The following is a 17,623-nucleotide window of genomic DNA, read 5'->3' as shown; positions in this document are numbered from 1 at the left end:
AGTAGAATGGTAGTTGCCAAGGGAGAGAAGGAGGAAAAATCTGGGAGATGTTGTTTTAAGGTACAAAGTATCAGTTAAGCAAAATGAGTAAGTTCTGGAGATCTAATATATAGCATGGTAACTATAATCAACCATGCTGTGTTGTATGCTTGAATTTTGCTAATAGGGTAGACCTTAAGTATTCTCACTACAAAAGAAAAAGAAGAAGAAGAAAGGAATTGAATGTGGTGAAAATAGACAGAGAGAGAGAAAGAAGAAAGAAAGATAGAAAAGAAAAAAGAAAGGAAAGGAAAGGAAAAGAAAAGAGAAAAAAGAAGGGAAGAGAGGAGAAGAGAAGGGAAGGGAAGGGGAGCGGAGGGGAGGGGAGGGGAGGGGAGAAGGGAAGGGAAGGGAAGGGAGGGAGGGAGGGAAGAAGGAAGAAGGAAGAAGGAAGGAAGGAAGGGAGGAAAGAAGAAAAGAAGGAAGATTACTTTTAGAGAATAGGTTATCTAAAAATGTATTGAATCATGATGACCTAAACTTATTTTTTTTGAAGACTTAATGGCTGTTAATTTTAAAACCAAAGCTGGGCACGGAAATAACTCACTGAATATCTCAAAATCTTATAATATATTTAAAGACAGCTATTTACCTACTGCTTTACTCTATCAAGAGCTTGGGACTATCTCATAACTTTCAAAGCCTGCAAGAATGGTAATACTGAATAAAATACAGAGAATGCTAAATTTAGAGCCAGAAGTCTTTGCCCTTTCAATTACCCATTACCTTTTTCCTTTTTGAAATAAGAGTCAGTAAAATTCCCTGCACAGAATTGCACAAGAGAAAAGGAAAACTACAAAGCGCTTTTAAAATGAAAGGTATACTTGGTACTAAAGGGCACTGACAAACTTTCAAGAGTCCTGAGATAAGTTGCTGGTCTTCTTCCTTCTTTCACAATGGCAAAAAACTGTTTGAGTATAGGAATAACAGTGCTATTCTATAAATATTGATTAAGTTGAGGGCTGTAAACGATTGTAGCTAGAGCTGGATTAAGGAAAAAATGTCTTCTGCCTAAACAAATAGAATTGCATTTCATGGTACTCAAGATACAATGGTTATGCCAAAATTTCCTGTATATTTGGTTCCAGAATAAAAGATGGTCAAAAGGAAAGGGGTGCGTAAAGGAAAGTGCACTTTCTGTCCAAAGACATGTTCTCTGAGTGTGGAGTCATTCAAAATCAGAGTGGTAATATAGCATCATGATTATGGGAAGAGGCTCCAGAGACTATTCAATGAGCTCAAATTCTAATTCCAGCGTTTACTAGCACTGTGACTTAGGTCAAGTTCCTTAGTTTCTTGGGCCTTGAGTTTCTTTATTTAAGAAAAGAGTAAAATAATGCCTATTATATCAAGTGTTTGGGAGGATTCAGTGAAAGAATACAGGAAAAGTGCTTATCAGCTAACAGAGTTATAAATGCTCAATAAATTATCATATTATTCTTAAACTTTAATCTCACATGGCACTGGTTGTCACTTCACCTTGAAAAACAGTTTCCTCAGGCAACCTTTTATGAATGGGCAATGTCCCAAGGCATCTACAGTCTGTAGCGTTCCTACAAGGAGAAGTGTTTTTCATAATCAATGTTATTAAATAATTATTCATGAGTGGTATTTAAAAGTCTCTGAAAACTAGATCTGAGACAATCTTGCATCAAAGCAAGTTCTATGATTCATATCTGAATAGATAAAATATAGAGAAAATTGTCATATCTGAATAGACAAAATATAGATAAAATTGTGAAGATTATTAAGTCAAGAACTTATGCTCTGTTTCAGAGGTTTTTATGCTGAAGTTCATGGGAAGGTTACTCTGAAAGATTCATGAATCCTTTGACAGTGCATGCAAAATACTGCAGATATGAATGTTTGACAATTTCTCATGAAAAGCAATTAAACTTTTCATTAGATTCTCAAAAGGCTTTATGACACAAAAAAGGTTAAAAAATCTCTGGCCTAGCCTAATTTTACAAATTTTCCCACCTGTGTCTGGATTGGTGTAAGCAATAGTGCTGAGAAATGCAAAAATGTTTTAGCATTCCTTGGAATGCTATACTTATTATCTAGTTCAACGTGAGCAAGATAAATGCTTAGCACATATTCTGCCTCTCAAAGGCTTTAAACTGAGTTGGAACACTATATATATACACAAAATAATTAACTATATCAAGTGATTATGATTATTATGATTAAATGTTAAAATTGAAGGAAAATATAAAAGGGGTAAGGGTGTAGTAAGTCATTGAAGGGGATGGGGAATGAAGCACAGCCATCCCTTGGTGGCTATGGGGATTTGTTCCAGGACCCATGCAGGCACCAAAATTTGCAGATGCTCAAGTTCTTATGTAAAATAACCTAGTATTTGTAATTAACGTATGCACATCCTCCCATAAACTTTAAATGATTGCTAGAGTGCTTGTAATATCTAATACAATGCCTACACTTCATTTCATTTGCATAGATTCAACATGGAATTTTTTCTTAATATTTTCAAATCCACAAATGCCAAGCCCACAGATACAGAGAACAGACTGTAATTAGGAAAGCTGTTGCAGAGGAGAAAAATTGAGTGGGGACAATGATAAATAGATGGAAGATAGTTTTTTGAGAGGACAGTGATGGCCCTCTTAGACAGTACAAGTAAAGATTTAAATCCAAAACAAAAGTCACCGGAAAAAAGAAGTGACTCTGGCCTAGCTTAATTGTGAAGAGCATACTTAAGGTATGTATAATGATTTGACTAGGTAGAGAAGATCTAGATTTTGAGGAGCTCATTATAATACTTAATAATTTTTGGCTTAAAGTGTTAAGGAGCAGAAGTTGCTGAACACAAGACTTGTAAAGGGGAAAAACAGTATTTAAGAGAATAGAACATGGTTGGAATGTGAAGAATAAACAATTATTCCTGAGAGAGGGAAGTCTGGAGTAAGTTAAGAGAGTGGCATTTTTCAGGAGTGTTCATAATTTATCCAGTATATAATGTATTATGCAATACATTTATGTGTTTCTGTAAGGTTTGGAGTTCTCAAGCTGCTATATCAGTTCAGAGTACAGCAGATACATGTAAGATGGCAAACAGTTCATCAGTTGAAAGACAACTTGACCGTAAGTGATGGCAGTCTCCAACGGACTGTATGCTGCAGATCACTAACAAAGCCTTGAAAAAAGGCCTTTTTGGAGGAGGATGTGTAACTCTTCATTGATTTCACACACATCCAGGAGTCAAGCAATACCAAAAAAAGCCTTGTCCCAACATTTGATATCATCCAGAATAGTAAAAGAACACTACTGTTTTGTCTGTGAATATTATGTGGCATTATCCAAAAGTCACCTTGCCTTTCCTCTCAAGTCCCCCACCTTGACAGAATATCAGCTTTCAGAAGATTAAATTATCATGTGTTCAAAAGTTTAAAAACAACCATGAAACTAAGGTTTTAAACCGTCTCTTTTTTTTCTGCAGCTTCAAATGTTTTAATAACTTAATTCATCTCTTTCTCCTGCCTTGCTTACTTTGAGTAATAGACCACTGTCTTGCACCTTTTCAAAGATTATTCTCTACCTTTATCTCTTGATCACATTAGGACTATAAGCCATCAATAAGCACCCCAGCAGCTCCTACTCTCAGTATCTTCCTTTTGGAAAATTTTCCTCTCCTCCTACAAATATGCTAAGATTCTAATATTCCATTATTCTCTTTATTTTCATTGCCATTTAAAAGAGTGTGCACTTAGTGTCTCTACCTTCTTATTGATCATGTCTATCTTCTTCCTGGTTTCTTACCCCATCATTATCATCGTATTGATGTTTCCAAATTTTTTGATAAAAGGAACATACAACAGTTCTCTTCTTGTAGGATGATGGCATATAAATCCCACAGGAAGGAAATATGAAAAGGAGGAAAGATTTCTCATACAATCCATGCCAAACATTGTGTATTTTTGCATAACCTTTCTATACTTGAACATTTCCTAAGTTATTTACTTTTCCCAAAAGACTGAATATCTTTTCTGGAAAATGCATACGTATCACCCAAATTTCCTTAATTTTAAGTTAAACTTTCTCAACTTTAAAATAACCTACCTTAAGGGGTGGATACAGAGGCACAATTTAACCCACAACAGCTGGTTTTCCTTCCTCTTTTCTCCCTCTCTTTCTTTTTTTTTTCCTCTCTTTTTATCTTTCTTTTCTTTCTTTCTTTCTTACATGTTACTGAAAGCAATTTCTTCTCCCGTAATCCCTGCCTCCCAATGCTGCTATCTCTCTGTTAGCTGGGCTTGTGGGTAAAAACAGTGAGTCACAGATTATAATTATGTTGATCTTTTCAACTGGTTTAGTAAATTGAGTTCAGCAGATTAAATTCTGAGTAAATTACTGGTTTGTTTAAATTAATCAGCCAATTTGGGCAAAAAGGTCAATATGGTTGTAGATATAAACCAATATAATTTTAAAATAATAATGTATTTACCTTTTTGATAGTTCTCTTAAATAATGAATTTGATTTTCTTTAACTTTTAAGTTTTCTGGTAGCTTGAATAAATTAAACTTGGTAGGAACCTGACGCAGTCAAAGGATGAAGAATTCTGATGTTTCCATTCTGATTCTCTGTTGTTGTTTTTGTTGTTGTTGTTGTTGCTGTTGTTGTTGTTAGGAAACAAAACAATATATTTAGCCTCTCGTTTTCAACTTAAATTGAGGATAACTGTAGACCTTGATGGGGAAAAGATAAACTCATAAATAACTATTTGCTAGTTATAGATCTGACAAATGGACTTTTAAAATATTAATCAATGGTACATATAAGCAAGAGCAGTTTTTGTTTAGTAAATCTGTGCTCCCTGATTCTTATTCAACTTACAAATTGTCCAGAAACATTTCACTATTTCACGTGGCCCTTGTATTTCTTTTCCAAGTAGTTGACTCTCTCTTTCATACTAGCTAAAAGCCAGATATAGAGATTTATTTGCTTAAAATAAAAAAAAAATGTCATCTATTTTGCTGATATTCCATTCGTCTAAATAACAGCCATTATCATCCATTGTTGTATTAATGATGATTCAGTCACATGGTGACTTACATCTAAAGGGGTCTGCCATAAATGTACTCATTAACTTAAAACAATCTGTTTTCTCCCAGTTCAAGAAACACAATATGTTATGTATTCACAAGCCTAAATATTAAAGAGTAACTTCCTGTGTTTGTCTACAGGTATAATAGGTACACTGTTAAATAGATGATGAATTAAGGTGTACTGCAAGCCATGGAGCTGTTTCAAAGTTAGGCACATCCCTGGGCTAAAGAAGGCACATAAAGATCTTTAAGTATTTTTATGTGACTTCATGATTTTAGTTCCAAGGCCTTTCATTTTTATCACCAATGAGAAATAAAACGTCCTTTTGAGTTAGAGTTTGCAAAAATTTTAGCTTCTTTTTATATCCCTACTGGTTCCTCTAATATATCAATGTTTTTAAATGTTTATGTCTTCATTAATATAAAAATAATGCATCTAAGTTTAAGAAAATTTGAAAATATAAAAATATAAGAATCACATTTATTATTATCCATAATCCTACCACCAAAAAATTATAATCAAATTGATCACTGGTATAATTTTCACCCTGTGATTAGAGCCAGTTCTACAGACTGTGGGAACCAGAGCAAGTCAACCATTGTGTTGACTTCTTTCATTCAAATATTTGAACATGGATAAAATCTACTTTATAATAACTGTACAGGGAAGCATTAAATGGACCACAAAAACTCTAAAGGAAGTGATCTTTATGAGCAAAAAGTAGAGGATGCATAATGGATAAATTAATATCACTTTTTCACATAAAACCTGAGGTTTCCTTTCAGTAGTTGAGAAGTTGGGTTTGAGTCAGATAAAAGGGAAAGAGTCTTAAGCTGATGCATTGTGTCAGCAGAAGCCACTGTAAATTGACAGACTCTTCTAGCCATAAGAATAATCCAATGCCAATTTGACAGGGAGTCTCCACAGAAATTCAATCAAAACCAGAAATTGCAGTTATTACACCTGGATAATACCTGCTAATTTGCTTTTCCTACATGCAAAATGATTGTGAAACAAAATTACTGAATTCAAAAAACTTAAAAAACATCAACAGACAAAATTTTTTGTTTAGCTTAACATGACTTTATTTTCTCCAGAAGTGTGTGTTTATAGATAAACAATCTCTTGATTCTGACTTGCAAAAACACCCAAATTCAACCTCTCTGAATTTGTTAAGGAGGAGCAACATCATATACTGCAGCTTTTTTTCCAATACAGAGGAAGTCCTCAATAAATGTTTTGAGTGAATAATGAGATTACAGGGGGTACAGAGATGATACTGAATCACCAAGCTTCTTAGTTACAAACTGCAGAAATGAAATATCTATGGAGAAAATGGCATTTTTGGGGAGGGTACCAGGAAGCTCACAAAATCGACTTCAGCCTTGAAACCCAAAGTCAAGAAACAAATCCTACCAAAGCAAGCTGATGTCACAAGCAAATAATACCATAAGAATATTCTAGTTTATAAAAATGCCACTACTGCTGTCACAAACATGCCCCAAGTTTTCAATTCCCATGCATTCTGCATAACTGCCTTCGAAATTCTCTAAGTTCTAGATATGAGAATCCAACTGATCAAGCCGAAGTCATAGACTTTAACCTGGCAAATGGCTGAGGACAAGGATTGGAAATATCTGCCCCAATGTGAGACTCAACAGTAGGAAACAAGGCTCTTATTTTAAAATTCCTTCAAAATAGAGTCTTGGATGTGGGTAGCCAAAAATGACAAAATAAAAGTAATATTGCACTTACTGTGTCCCTACTGTGTCTCAGGCTTTGTTTGTAATTTTTTACTCAGTAACATTATGATCCTTACTGTGACTTCATTATGACTTTGCAAAGTCATTATTATTTGTATGTTTTAGAGAATAAAACCAATTACAGAATTTGTTACTTGCCCAGATTCACACATCAAGTCAACACTGTAGTTAGGATAGGAAACTAGGCAGTCTGGATTCAAGGTCTGAGGCTCTAAGCATTGATCTATACTGAAGGCTCCAAAATACTCCTAAACATCTCCCTTCCCTGCTTGTTATAATCCCTGAAGATTCAGCATGCATGGTTGTAATCCTCTAATAAAAACCTTTATTGATCTATCAAAATATCCATACAAGTGACCCATCTATACCATGAAATATGTTTACCACCTTTAAAACTAAAAAGGTAAAACTGATATTCCAAGACACGTGGTGAAGCTTTTGAAGTATTATAACATTGATATTATAAAATCAGAAATACGTATATGAGAACATATTTATGTATAAATGTTTAGAGGGAGACCAGAAAGATGAATATCAAACTATCGCCAGGAGCATAAGAGTGAATGGATGGACATTCACACTTACTTTACGTAGTTCTGTACAGTATGAATAAGTTAAAAAAACTTTAGATTTTATCATCTAAAAACTATGAATATATGTAATTATTTATATTTCTATTAGGAGAAGCAGTTTTTCTAGGATGTAAGTAATACCTGAAAGACAGTAGAAAAGCACTAAAACCAATTTAGCTGAAGAAAAAGAATGACAGTTTTAGAGTCAGACTGACTGACTTTCATTTTAATGTGGATACTGGAATTTTCTAAATGGCATTAGACTTCAACAGCCATTTCATGTCTTAGTTTTCCCATTTGTATAATGACAATAAGAGAAAAAAATAAAAAGCCCTATCTTGCTGCACTGTTTTAAGGATTATAGTTAGCATGGGTAAAGAGTCTGGCAGGTATCAGATGCCAGTAGGTTAAAAATGCCACCAAATGCTTACTCTGAAGACACATCTGTGCCTAAGGCTCAGCAAGCTGAGGCATGCTGATAAACTATAGTGGGGAATGAGACCAAGTTCTGAAAAAAAAAAAAGAAATAAAGATCTGTCATATTTTCTGGGAAGCTCTTCAATTCCAACCTTATCTTTGAAAAGCAGCTTGCTCAAGACCATGTCTGACTTATGTGACTTCCCCTTCACTTAAGCTGTGTACTCCCATGGGCCCAACTGCCAGGACACTAATCAGGCGGGGTCTCTCTGGAACCCACACACAGGTTTCTGTCCCCCGCTCTCCTCCTCCACCACCTACCCCTTCTCTAGCTCCTTCTTCTCTTTTGTTCTTTATTTTATTTTGCGTAGTGGTTACCACAGTCATTTATTATTAGTAAAATTAGGAATATATATTTGGGACAAAATCCTCTCTTGGCAAGGCTGTGTAGAGAGAATATTTCAAAATTAAAACTCTTGTCTACCTTGACCAAGTAACGAAGATTGATGTCACCAATAGTAATGCATATTTATATTAAGTACCCCCGATAGGATGTGATGAGAAGGGCATTCCACCTCTGTAATCATCAACCCAAAAATGTATAACCCCAGTCCAATTATGAGAAAATATCAGCAAACCCCAACTAAAGAATATTCTACAATATATCTGACTAGTACTCTTCAAAAGAGTCAAGATTCTGAAAGACAAGGAAAGACTGAGGAACTGTCATAAAATATAGGAGACTAAGAAATTGTGGTGACTAAATGCAGTGTAGGACCCAGGATTGCACTCTGGAACAGAAAAAGGATTCTAGTGAAAAGTCTGGTGTTTAGTTAATAGTATTATAACAATGTTAATCTCCTGATTTTTATCATTATACTATGATTATGTTAGATGTTAGCATTACAGGAAAGTGAACATAGGGCAATAAGAGACTCTCTGTTATCTTTGCAATTCATTTGTAAATCTAAAATTATTCAAAATAAAACATTTAAAAATGTTGTCTGATTGCTAATGTTTTGGTTTTTTGTGGGTTTTGCAGTTGTTCGTGTTGTTTATTTGATTGGTTTTTGAGACAGAGTCTCATTCTGTTGCCCAGGTTGGAGTGCAGTGGCATAATCACAGCCGACTGCAGCCTCCACCTCCCAGGCCCAATTGGTCCTCACCTCAGCCTCCTAAGTAACACAAGTGTGTGCCACCACTTTTTTGTTTTTCTTTGTATTTTTTTAGAGATAGGGTCTCACTATGTTGCCCAGTCTGGTCTTGAATTCCTGGGCTCAAGCAATCCTCTCACCTCAACCTCTCAAAGTGTTAGGATTATGGAGTGAGCCACCGTGCCTGGCTTGATTCCTAAAGTTGATGAGCTATAACCAATTTTGATGACTTTATTGCCTAAATAGTATTTCTTCATTTTCACAATTCATCGTACTTATACAAAGGCTTTAATTTTAATCCAAAACACTGCCCCATCTATTATCACCGTATTTCTCTTTAATAACTTAGTTTTTTTTATCTCTTTAAAATGTATAAAGTGCCTTTATATACACTCTCTCACCTAATCTTACAACAACTGTTTCAGGTGGACAAAGCAAGAATCCTCACTGCCACATTAACGATGAGAAAAATAGTGAAAAAGACAGTTTAAGAGATTTACTTTATGGTATATGAGTTAGTGACAATCTTAAGGAGAACATGGTTTGGTGCAATTCAATAATCCTTTTTTAAAAAAGAGCAAAGAATCTGAATAGACAGTTCGTCAAGAAAGATATACTATACAAATGGACAAAAGCACACAAAAGATGCTTGTCTTCATTAGTTGTCAGGGAAATTAAGATCAAAACCACAAGAACACATCACTTTACACCCACCAGGATAGCTAGAATTAAAATTAAAAAAAATATTGGTGAAGAGGTGAAGAAATCAGAACCATCATACACTTTGGGTGAGAAGATAAAGAGAAAAGTCACTTTTGAAAATTGTCGGCAGTTCTTCAAATGATTAATTTTCAAGTTACCATAGGATCCAGCAATTCTACTTACTATATGTTCGAGAAAAATGAAAACATATGTCTACAACAAAAACTTATACATGAATGTTTCTATCAGCATTATTTATAATAGCCAAAAGTTGAAAATAATCCTAATGTCTGCCAAGAAAAGGATGAATAGACAAATGTGTTATAGCCATATAACGAAATATTATTTGGCCATGAAAAGTAAAGAAGTACTGATAGGTGCTACAAATGGATAGATCTTGAAAACATTATGCTAAGTAAAAGAAACCTACCACAAAAGACCTCATACTATTTGATTTCACTCATACGATAGTCCAGAATAGGGGACTCGATAGAGAAAGGGTAGATTTGTGGTTGCTTAGGGCTAGGAAAAGGGTGTAGGAATTGCTAAAGAATATGGGAGTTTTTTGAGGTGATGAAAATGTCTAAAATTGACTGTGGTAATAGCAAAGACATGGAATCAACCTAGATGCCCATAAATGGTGGACTGCATAAAGAAAATGTGGTACATATACATCATGAAATACCACATAGCTGTAAAAAGGAATAAAATCATGTCCTTTGCAGCAACGTGGATGCAGCTGGAGGCCATTATCCTAAATGAATTAATACAGGAACCAAAAACCAAATACCACATGTTCTCACTTGTAAGTGGGAGCTAAATATTGAGTACACCTGGATACAAAGAAGGGAACAATAGACACCAAGATCTGTTTGAGGGTGGAGGGTGGGAGGAGGGTGAGGACTGAAAAACTACCTATCAAGTACTATGCTGATTACCTGGGTGACAAAATTATCTGTACACCAAACCCCCATGACATGCAATTTATCCTTAGTAAAAACCCTGAACATGTACCCCTTGAACCTAAAATAAATGTTGGGAAAAAAAAATAAGATGACAAACGGGCAAAATCTACAAACACATAATTCATAAAAGAAACACGGATGCCTAATAAATACATGAGAATTTTGTAAATGTACTGTGGTGATGCTTAAACATATCTGTGGATGTACTAAAAACCATTGAATTGTATGCTTCAAATGGGTGAATTGTATGGTGTGTGAATTATATCTCAATAAAGTTGTTTTGAAAAATTAAAATTAAAACATTATTTTCCACAATGAGTCAAGTCAGAAATAAGTGAATAACTCAAGATGCTCAAATCTAATAGATGAAGTAATTAATAATTGTGTAAAAACTGTGGTCTAGATATTCTAATTCTTAAACCACGAATTTTTTTTACATGTAATATAAATCATCAGCTGAGTAGTCAGGCAATTATCCCCATTTTCAAAGCAGGAAAGCAACACATATGGTCTATAGAAGATCCATTTCTGTTTTTTGTTTTTTGTTTTGTTTTGTTTTGTTTTGTTTTTGAGACGGGGTCTCACTCTGTCGCCAGGCTGGAGTGCAGTGGCACAATCTCGGCTCACTGCAACCTCCACCTCCTGGGTTCAAGCGATTCTCCTGCCTCAGCCTCCTGAGTAGCTGGGACTACAGGCATGCACCACCACACCCAGCTAATTTGTGTGTTTTTAGTAGAGACGGGGCTTCACCGTGTTGGCCAGAATGGTCTTGATCTCGTCTCCCTCTCCTGACCACGTGATCCGCCCACCTCGGCCTCCCAAAGTGCTGGGATTACAGCCTTGAGCCACCACGCCTGGCCCATTTCTTCAGTTCAACAATACCAGACCAAGACGAAAGAAAAGAGAGAAGGAAATATTAGCCATGTACTTAATGAAACACTACCTTCAGCACAATCCTGACACTTTCAAGGCTCTGTTCATCCTTGCTACAGGTAAGCTGTCTCATTCTGAAAATTCTGGAAGTGTAAATAGTGAAGAGTAACCCACAAAAAAGGGGATGCCTTTACAGAATGTAAACTCTAGCTCAACACTTACACGTTGTGATGATCACATTTGAAAACACTTTGTGCCTGATCTTTGGTTGATGGCATTTGTTCATTTAATATGCATGTGGAGGTAAAGAGTGAATCTCTTTCCAGCAGATAAACTACATATATATGTGCATACAATTATATATAATCATATATAATTACATTTAAATATGTAACATGTTATATATAATATACTTATACACATATAACAGTCCCCAACAGAAAAAAGATGTAGTTTCAATATTCTCAATTTTAAAAGTACATACATATATTTTTTCTCGGTCTACAAAGTTTGAAATTCATATCAATTTTAGGGTTCTGTAATTAAGACTAAGTTTGGGACTATCTATTGACTATCTAAATGGAGACACACAAAGGTTCTCTATGATGTAGATCTCTCCTAGTTGAGAAAAAGAGTGATCCAAGTAGAAAAGTTGATATCATCATTTGATAGTACTTTCCAAGTTAAAGTAAAATAAAAAACTGTAAACAGAAAATAGTTTTAATTTTTCTTTTTTTTTTTTTTTAGAGACGGAGTCTCACTCTTTCTCCCAGGCCGGACTGCAGTGGCGCTATCTCAGCTCACTGCAAGCTCTGCCTCCCGGGTTCACGTCATTCCTGCCTCAGCCTCCCGAGTAGCTGGGATTACAGGCGCCCGCCACCGCGCCCGGCTAATTTTTTGTATTTTTAGTAGAGACAGGGTTTCACCGTGTTAGCCAAGATGGTCTCAATCTCCTGACCTCGTGATCCACGCGCCTCGGCCTCCCAAAGTGCTGGGATTACAGGAGTGAGCCACCACGCCCGGCCAGTTCTAAAAGTTTTAATTCCCTTTTTATGTTTCAGAAGTTTCTTTGATATTGTCAGTACCTTGAGATCAGTGTGAGCATAAGTTATCTCACATAGAAAAACAGTATGGGGTATATGAGATATCTTGCTACAAGCAATTATGTAGCCATATAAATAAATAAATAATAAATGGTTATAAAAAGAAAAACAATATGGTATAGCTGAAAGAAGTTAAATTTAGGAAATTGGGCAAACCTGTATTCATTATGGCTCTGCCATCTACCCGATGTGCAACTTTGAACGAGTTGCTGAAACTCTCTGAGCCTCAAGCTTATCATCTCTCTATAGAGTTCTCTTTTAACTTGGACGAGTTAGTTTTGTTGTCTTTGCTAAAGATTACTTCAGAGGCGCTCTAGCTCTTCTTCTGCAAAGTTAATCACATGAAAAGTGAAAAATCAACTTGTCTAAAGAATACAGGGGCCTCCTGGGAAGATTTTAACTGATATTCTTCAACATCTCCCTGGAATTCAGAGTTAACACAATTCATAGACATAAACTAATATGTCCGTGAGAATTACCAGGGGCAAGAAATGATAGGAAGCCTCCTGAGACTGAATAAAAAGAGAAATAAAGCTGTTGGCCATAGTTAAAACAGGCATTTTTAACCTGGAGTTCTATAAATATAATTCAGATGGTCCATATATTTAAATAGGGAAACAACAGTGCATTTAACTGAAATGTAACATTTTTTCTATTGTGAATGTAGAAAATAAACAACAGCATCATTAATAGTATTGATAACTGCCACTAATATAAATCACAAATAATTTTCTCTCTTTTACTTTTTTCAGATATCTCAAAATATTATTTACACTCATTACTTCAACTTGGAAATTATGCTCATTATTAGACATGCCACAAGATTTATTTCATCCATTATAGAGAAGCACCTATATCAGACAGTTGGGTATAGGTGCTTCTTTTATATTACAGTATTTTGATCGGTGTATTTCAATAGAACTGGTTTCCTTGGTAATCCAATGTATTTTATTTTGTGCATTTAAAATCTATTTTGATATGGGATTCAGAGGCTTGTGCCAAAAGTGTCCATAGCACAAAAATGTTAAGGGTCCCTAGCTTAAGGTAAGTTCCAAAGCCTTGGGCAGCTGCTTTGGAAATGCTAGTGCTGATTTCTCTGGTCCCGTAACCCTGCTCAATTCCAGTGTTCTGTGAAATAATGCTGAGTGCCACCAGGTAGCTGAAAAGAAAGCCCTAGGGGAGGGCACAGGGCCATCCACCATAGATCCGAGAAGTTGCAAAGAACCTTTATGGGAAGAAAGACCTTTTCTTTCACCAGATCCCCTATGGCAGCAAGAAATGTTTGTGTCTGCTCCTCACTTGGGAAGAGAAGTTGGACTGGCCATCCTATTAGACTAAATAAAACCCATGGTCTCTTTTTGGAAGGAAAACATTAAAGAAGCACAAAAAGAGAGTCACTGGACCTCATACCAGTATGGCAGTTGGGTGCTTAAGTAGCTACACATATAAACCAACGGAACAAGTTATGTTTGCAAAGTATAAAAATATATCAAATTGCAGGCCAGGCACAGTGGCTCACACCTGTAATCCCAGCACTTTGGGAGGCCAAGGTGGGTGGATTACCTGAGATCAGGAGTTTGAGACCAGCCTGCCCAACATGGTGAAACCCCGCCTCTACTGAAAATACAAATATTAGCTGGATGTGGTGGTGCACGCCTGTAATCCCAGCTACTCAGGTGGCTGAGGCAGGATAATCACTTGAACCTGGGAGGTGGAGGTTGCAGTGAGCCAAGATCGCGCCATTGCACTCCAGCCTGGGCAACAGAGCAAGACTCCGTCTCAAAAAAATAATAATAATATATGTGTGTGTGTATAAAATTGCAGTGGGACTAAACAAGGTGGGTAAATAGCCACCTAACACAGTGTCCAGAACAGAAAATGCTTAAGGTATTTTAGTACCTTCATCTTCCTAAATACCTCCCACCCTCCCACCACCATTACAAATACACAAAGGTAGAGAGAAAGAGACAGTTTAAAACAGTGGTGGTCCTGTTTCAATTATTCTTTGCTATTAAAAATAAGCAAACTCAAATTAAAATTCCAAATAATAACAATTAGCTACGTTTTACATATATTCAGAAAATAAGGCAAAGAAACTGTTTCTTTCCTAAAGTCACACAGCAAGTTGAGGATCAAAGATCCCTTGTAGCCCACTGGCTCCTGCATTAACCCAGGAATACTTCGTTTGTATCTGTGTATTTAGCTGGGAAGTTGAAGGTTCATTTGCTTGGTGTGTGTTTTATTTTGTTTGGTTTGGTTTGCACAAGAACGTGGCTTACCCATTCATGATTCTTTCCGATTTTACCTCTTTTACTGAAGGCACTAGAAGAAAGCCATCCTGTAGTTTCATAGGCAGACAAGGCAACAGATAAATCATTTCCACTTTAGGACACCCACACCCTCAGCCTATTGTCTTTGTGATTCAGAACTGTCAGGAAAGAGATTTCTAAAAAGCTGTTGAAATCTTCAGGTTCACACTACCATATGTTGGTCTGCCAGGAATTTGGCCCTCCCAAGCTTCATGGCTTGAGCTTGATCCTCCCTTTTGTTCTAGGCGCAGAGAACCTGATGATAAGCCCTCACTGATTGAAATAATGAGAGAGTAGACAGCAGTATGAAAGCTACTGTCAGGATTCTAAATATTTATAATTTAAAATGAAATTTATTAGAGTAAAGCTGTTCCTCTCTCCCTTCCTCACACCGCTGACCTGCCTGCTGAGTGTTTCTCCCTTCAAGTCTGCCCTTAATTCAATTCACTCAAATGATGTTTATCAATTATATATTGTGCTAGACATGGTATTATTCATTCTAGATAACAAATGAGGTGCAAAAGAGACACAGCCCCTGTCCTGGAGCTAACAGGCCAGTAAGGGAAACGGCCATTCTTAAAAATTACATATAAATACAAACACTACATAAATACAGCACACACAGCCAACTGTACTAATTGCAAAGAAAAGACCACAATTCAATGAGAGATAATAGTGGAAACCTGGTTCAAGATGGGAGATCAATGAAGGCTTTTCTGAGGAAGTATCATTTTATCTGAAAACTGAAGAATGATGGATGATGTATATAGGACAGGGAGCAGAGAATATGTGGGAAGATTTCCAGTTACAAAGAGAAGCTTATGTGAAGAACTGAACAAGAGAAATAATTTCCCAGATGGTAGACAATGCAGCTTATTTCAATACAAATGTCTACATTCAGAATAAGGCAAAAAATCTGAATTCCTCGAAGTTGAACAGGCTGAAGTCAAGTGCTGGCATAGTCCCATCACCTATATGAGTAAAATCCTCTACTCCCCATGTGTTGAGTGGTTGCTGAGCTGCTGGAAATGTCCCAGAGAAAGAGAGATGCCATCGGTCTTGGATTGTTTAATATACTGTGTCACTTTTTATTAAAGAGTTTAAAACCGCATTGGTTTATGATATTGTTTAGATGTTCTTGCAATTTATTATTTGATACTTGGTTTTCACAAGTTTATGCATAGTTTATTAACATATACACTTTTCATTTAGGATTTGTTGGAGTTCTCATGAACACTCTTTAGGCTGCTGCAAAACCAAAAATTAAAGTGTGAGATGTACACATGTATTTTCATAGCTAAGCATGTGAACCCACTCCTCTTGTACTATGCTGTAACGAATAATGGAAATAGTCATTTTTCAAAGTGTCTGTATATTTATAAAATTTCAAATATCACTTAGTCCTAACATATCATGTTCTACTGTGGAAAATCATACCAGAAAGACCAAAAAATCCTGCTGCTTTGTTTTATAAATATTTATTACAATGTATGTATCCTGGCAGTCAGTTGCACTCTCTCTCCAAATTCTGCATAGAATCTTTTGGAAATTGGGCTTCATGAAAGAAATTGTATTTAACTGGTAGCTCTTAGTTCTCAAAAACAGGTTTATTCTGCCATGAGAACAATTCCAAAGAGGAGACAAGAATTCCTCCACCTATATGGTAGTTTTGAATTGCTTAGCATCTTATTTACACTTGACTATCTATAAGGATGATAGATTAGTTATGTTCCTGTTTAAGTTTACTCTCTTCCTATTTAAGACTAAAAGATATATCACAACTCATTTGTGTATTTCCATATTTTCACTTGCGTAAATCAGAGTAAGGAGTCAAAAACTTCATAAGTACATAAAACTGCTTACAGTCCTATATATTCCCCATTGCTCATGGGATAATATTTAGCATCTAGCATCCTCGGTACTGAATGTGAGGGTCTTTACAACACAGCCACCTCCATGACAACATTATCTCTGCCACTTCCTCCTTTTCTCTTCATCTCTTTTACATTCCAGCTTTGCTTGACTGATTGCCGTTTCCAAAACATGCCATGTTCTTCCAAGATTTATATCATTCCCTCTTATCTGTTTTACTTGAAAAACCCTATTTATGTTCTAGTTCTCACATCCATATTGTTTTATATGCTAATGTTCTTGGCCTAAGGCAAAAAGTTTCACTGCCTTATTTATGTTTTATAATACTTTTATAACCACTATTATATCACATATTTGTTTTTATATAATCATTCACTTATATTTATGTTTTCCCAACTAGATTCTTAATTTTCTCAAGAAGTTAACAGACCAATTATATATATTGCTTTAGATTCATGCCTTCTACAAAGCCTACCACAATATTTGGTATACAATAAGCCCTCAAGAAATGTCTACTGAATTAAGTTAAACATGATTCTAGAGGCCTGTGCAATAGATTGTTGGCATCATCCAGGTTCTCACAATTTCATTGCATATTCTTCAGATCAACATTTAGAACGACAATTAGATTACAGAGCATAATTTTCCCCAATGGGTGGGGCATTTTAATCAGTCTTGCCCATTTTTTTTTTCTTGTGATGTCATTGGGGTGCCTTGAACATGCAGTCAAATTCCACACACAGAGCAGTCCTTTGTTCTTATCAACATCTCACAGCCTGTGAAGCTCTC

At 35.9% G+C, this 17,623-nt stretch overlaps 3 annotated features.

Moving 5' to 3' along the window:
* Nucleotides 7,706–8,335: a transcriptional cis regulatory region, noted in NCBI's record as "candidate enhancer chr6.3307 targeted for multiplex CRISPR interference". NCBI's record gives its function as "positively regulates RHAG gene expression with high confidence in K562 cells {active_cell/tissue: K562}" and the evidence as "EXISTENCE:mutant phenotype evidence [ECO:0000015][PMID:30612741]".
* Nucleotides 7,946–8,090: an enhancer, noted in NCBI's record as "145 bp enhancer 217 fragment used in the MPRA reporter construct; PK_construct_4077". NCBI's record gives its function as "activates an SV40 promoter by MPRA in K562 cells {active_cell/tissue: K562}" and the evidence as "EXISTENCE:reporter gene assay evidence [ECO:0000049][PMID:23512712]".
* Nucleotides 8,009–8,026: a transcriptional cis regulatory region, noted in NCBI's record as "GATA motif; MPRA enhancer 217 activity is reduced when this motif is scrambled". NCBI's record gives its function as "necessary for full MPRA enhancer 217 activity {active_cell/tissue: K562}" and the evidence as "EXISTENCE:site-directed mutagenesis evidence [ECO:0005528][PMID:23512712]".

This window comes from Homo sapiens, chromosome 6 (assembly GCF_000001405.40).
Source record: "Homo sapiens chromosome 6, GRCh38.p14 Primary Assembly".
Taxonomy (NCBI): Eukaryota; Metazoa; Chordata; class Mammalia; order Primates; family Hominidae; genus Homo; species Homo sapiens.
This window is presented reverse-complemented; position numbering and strand designations above follow the sequence as displayed.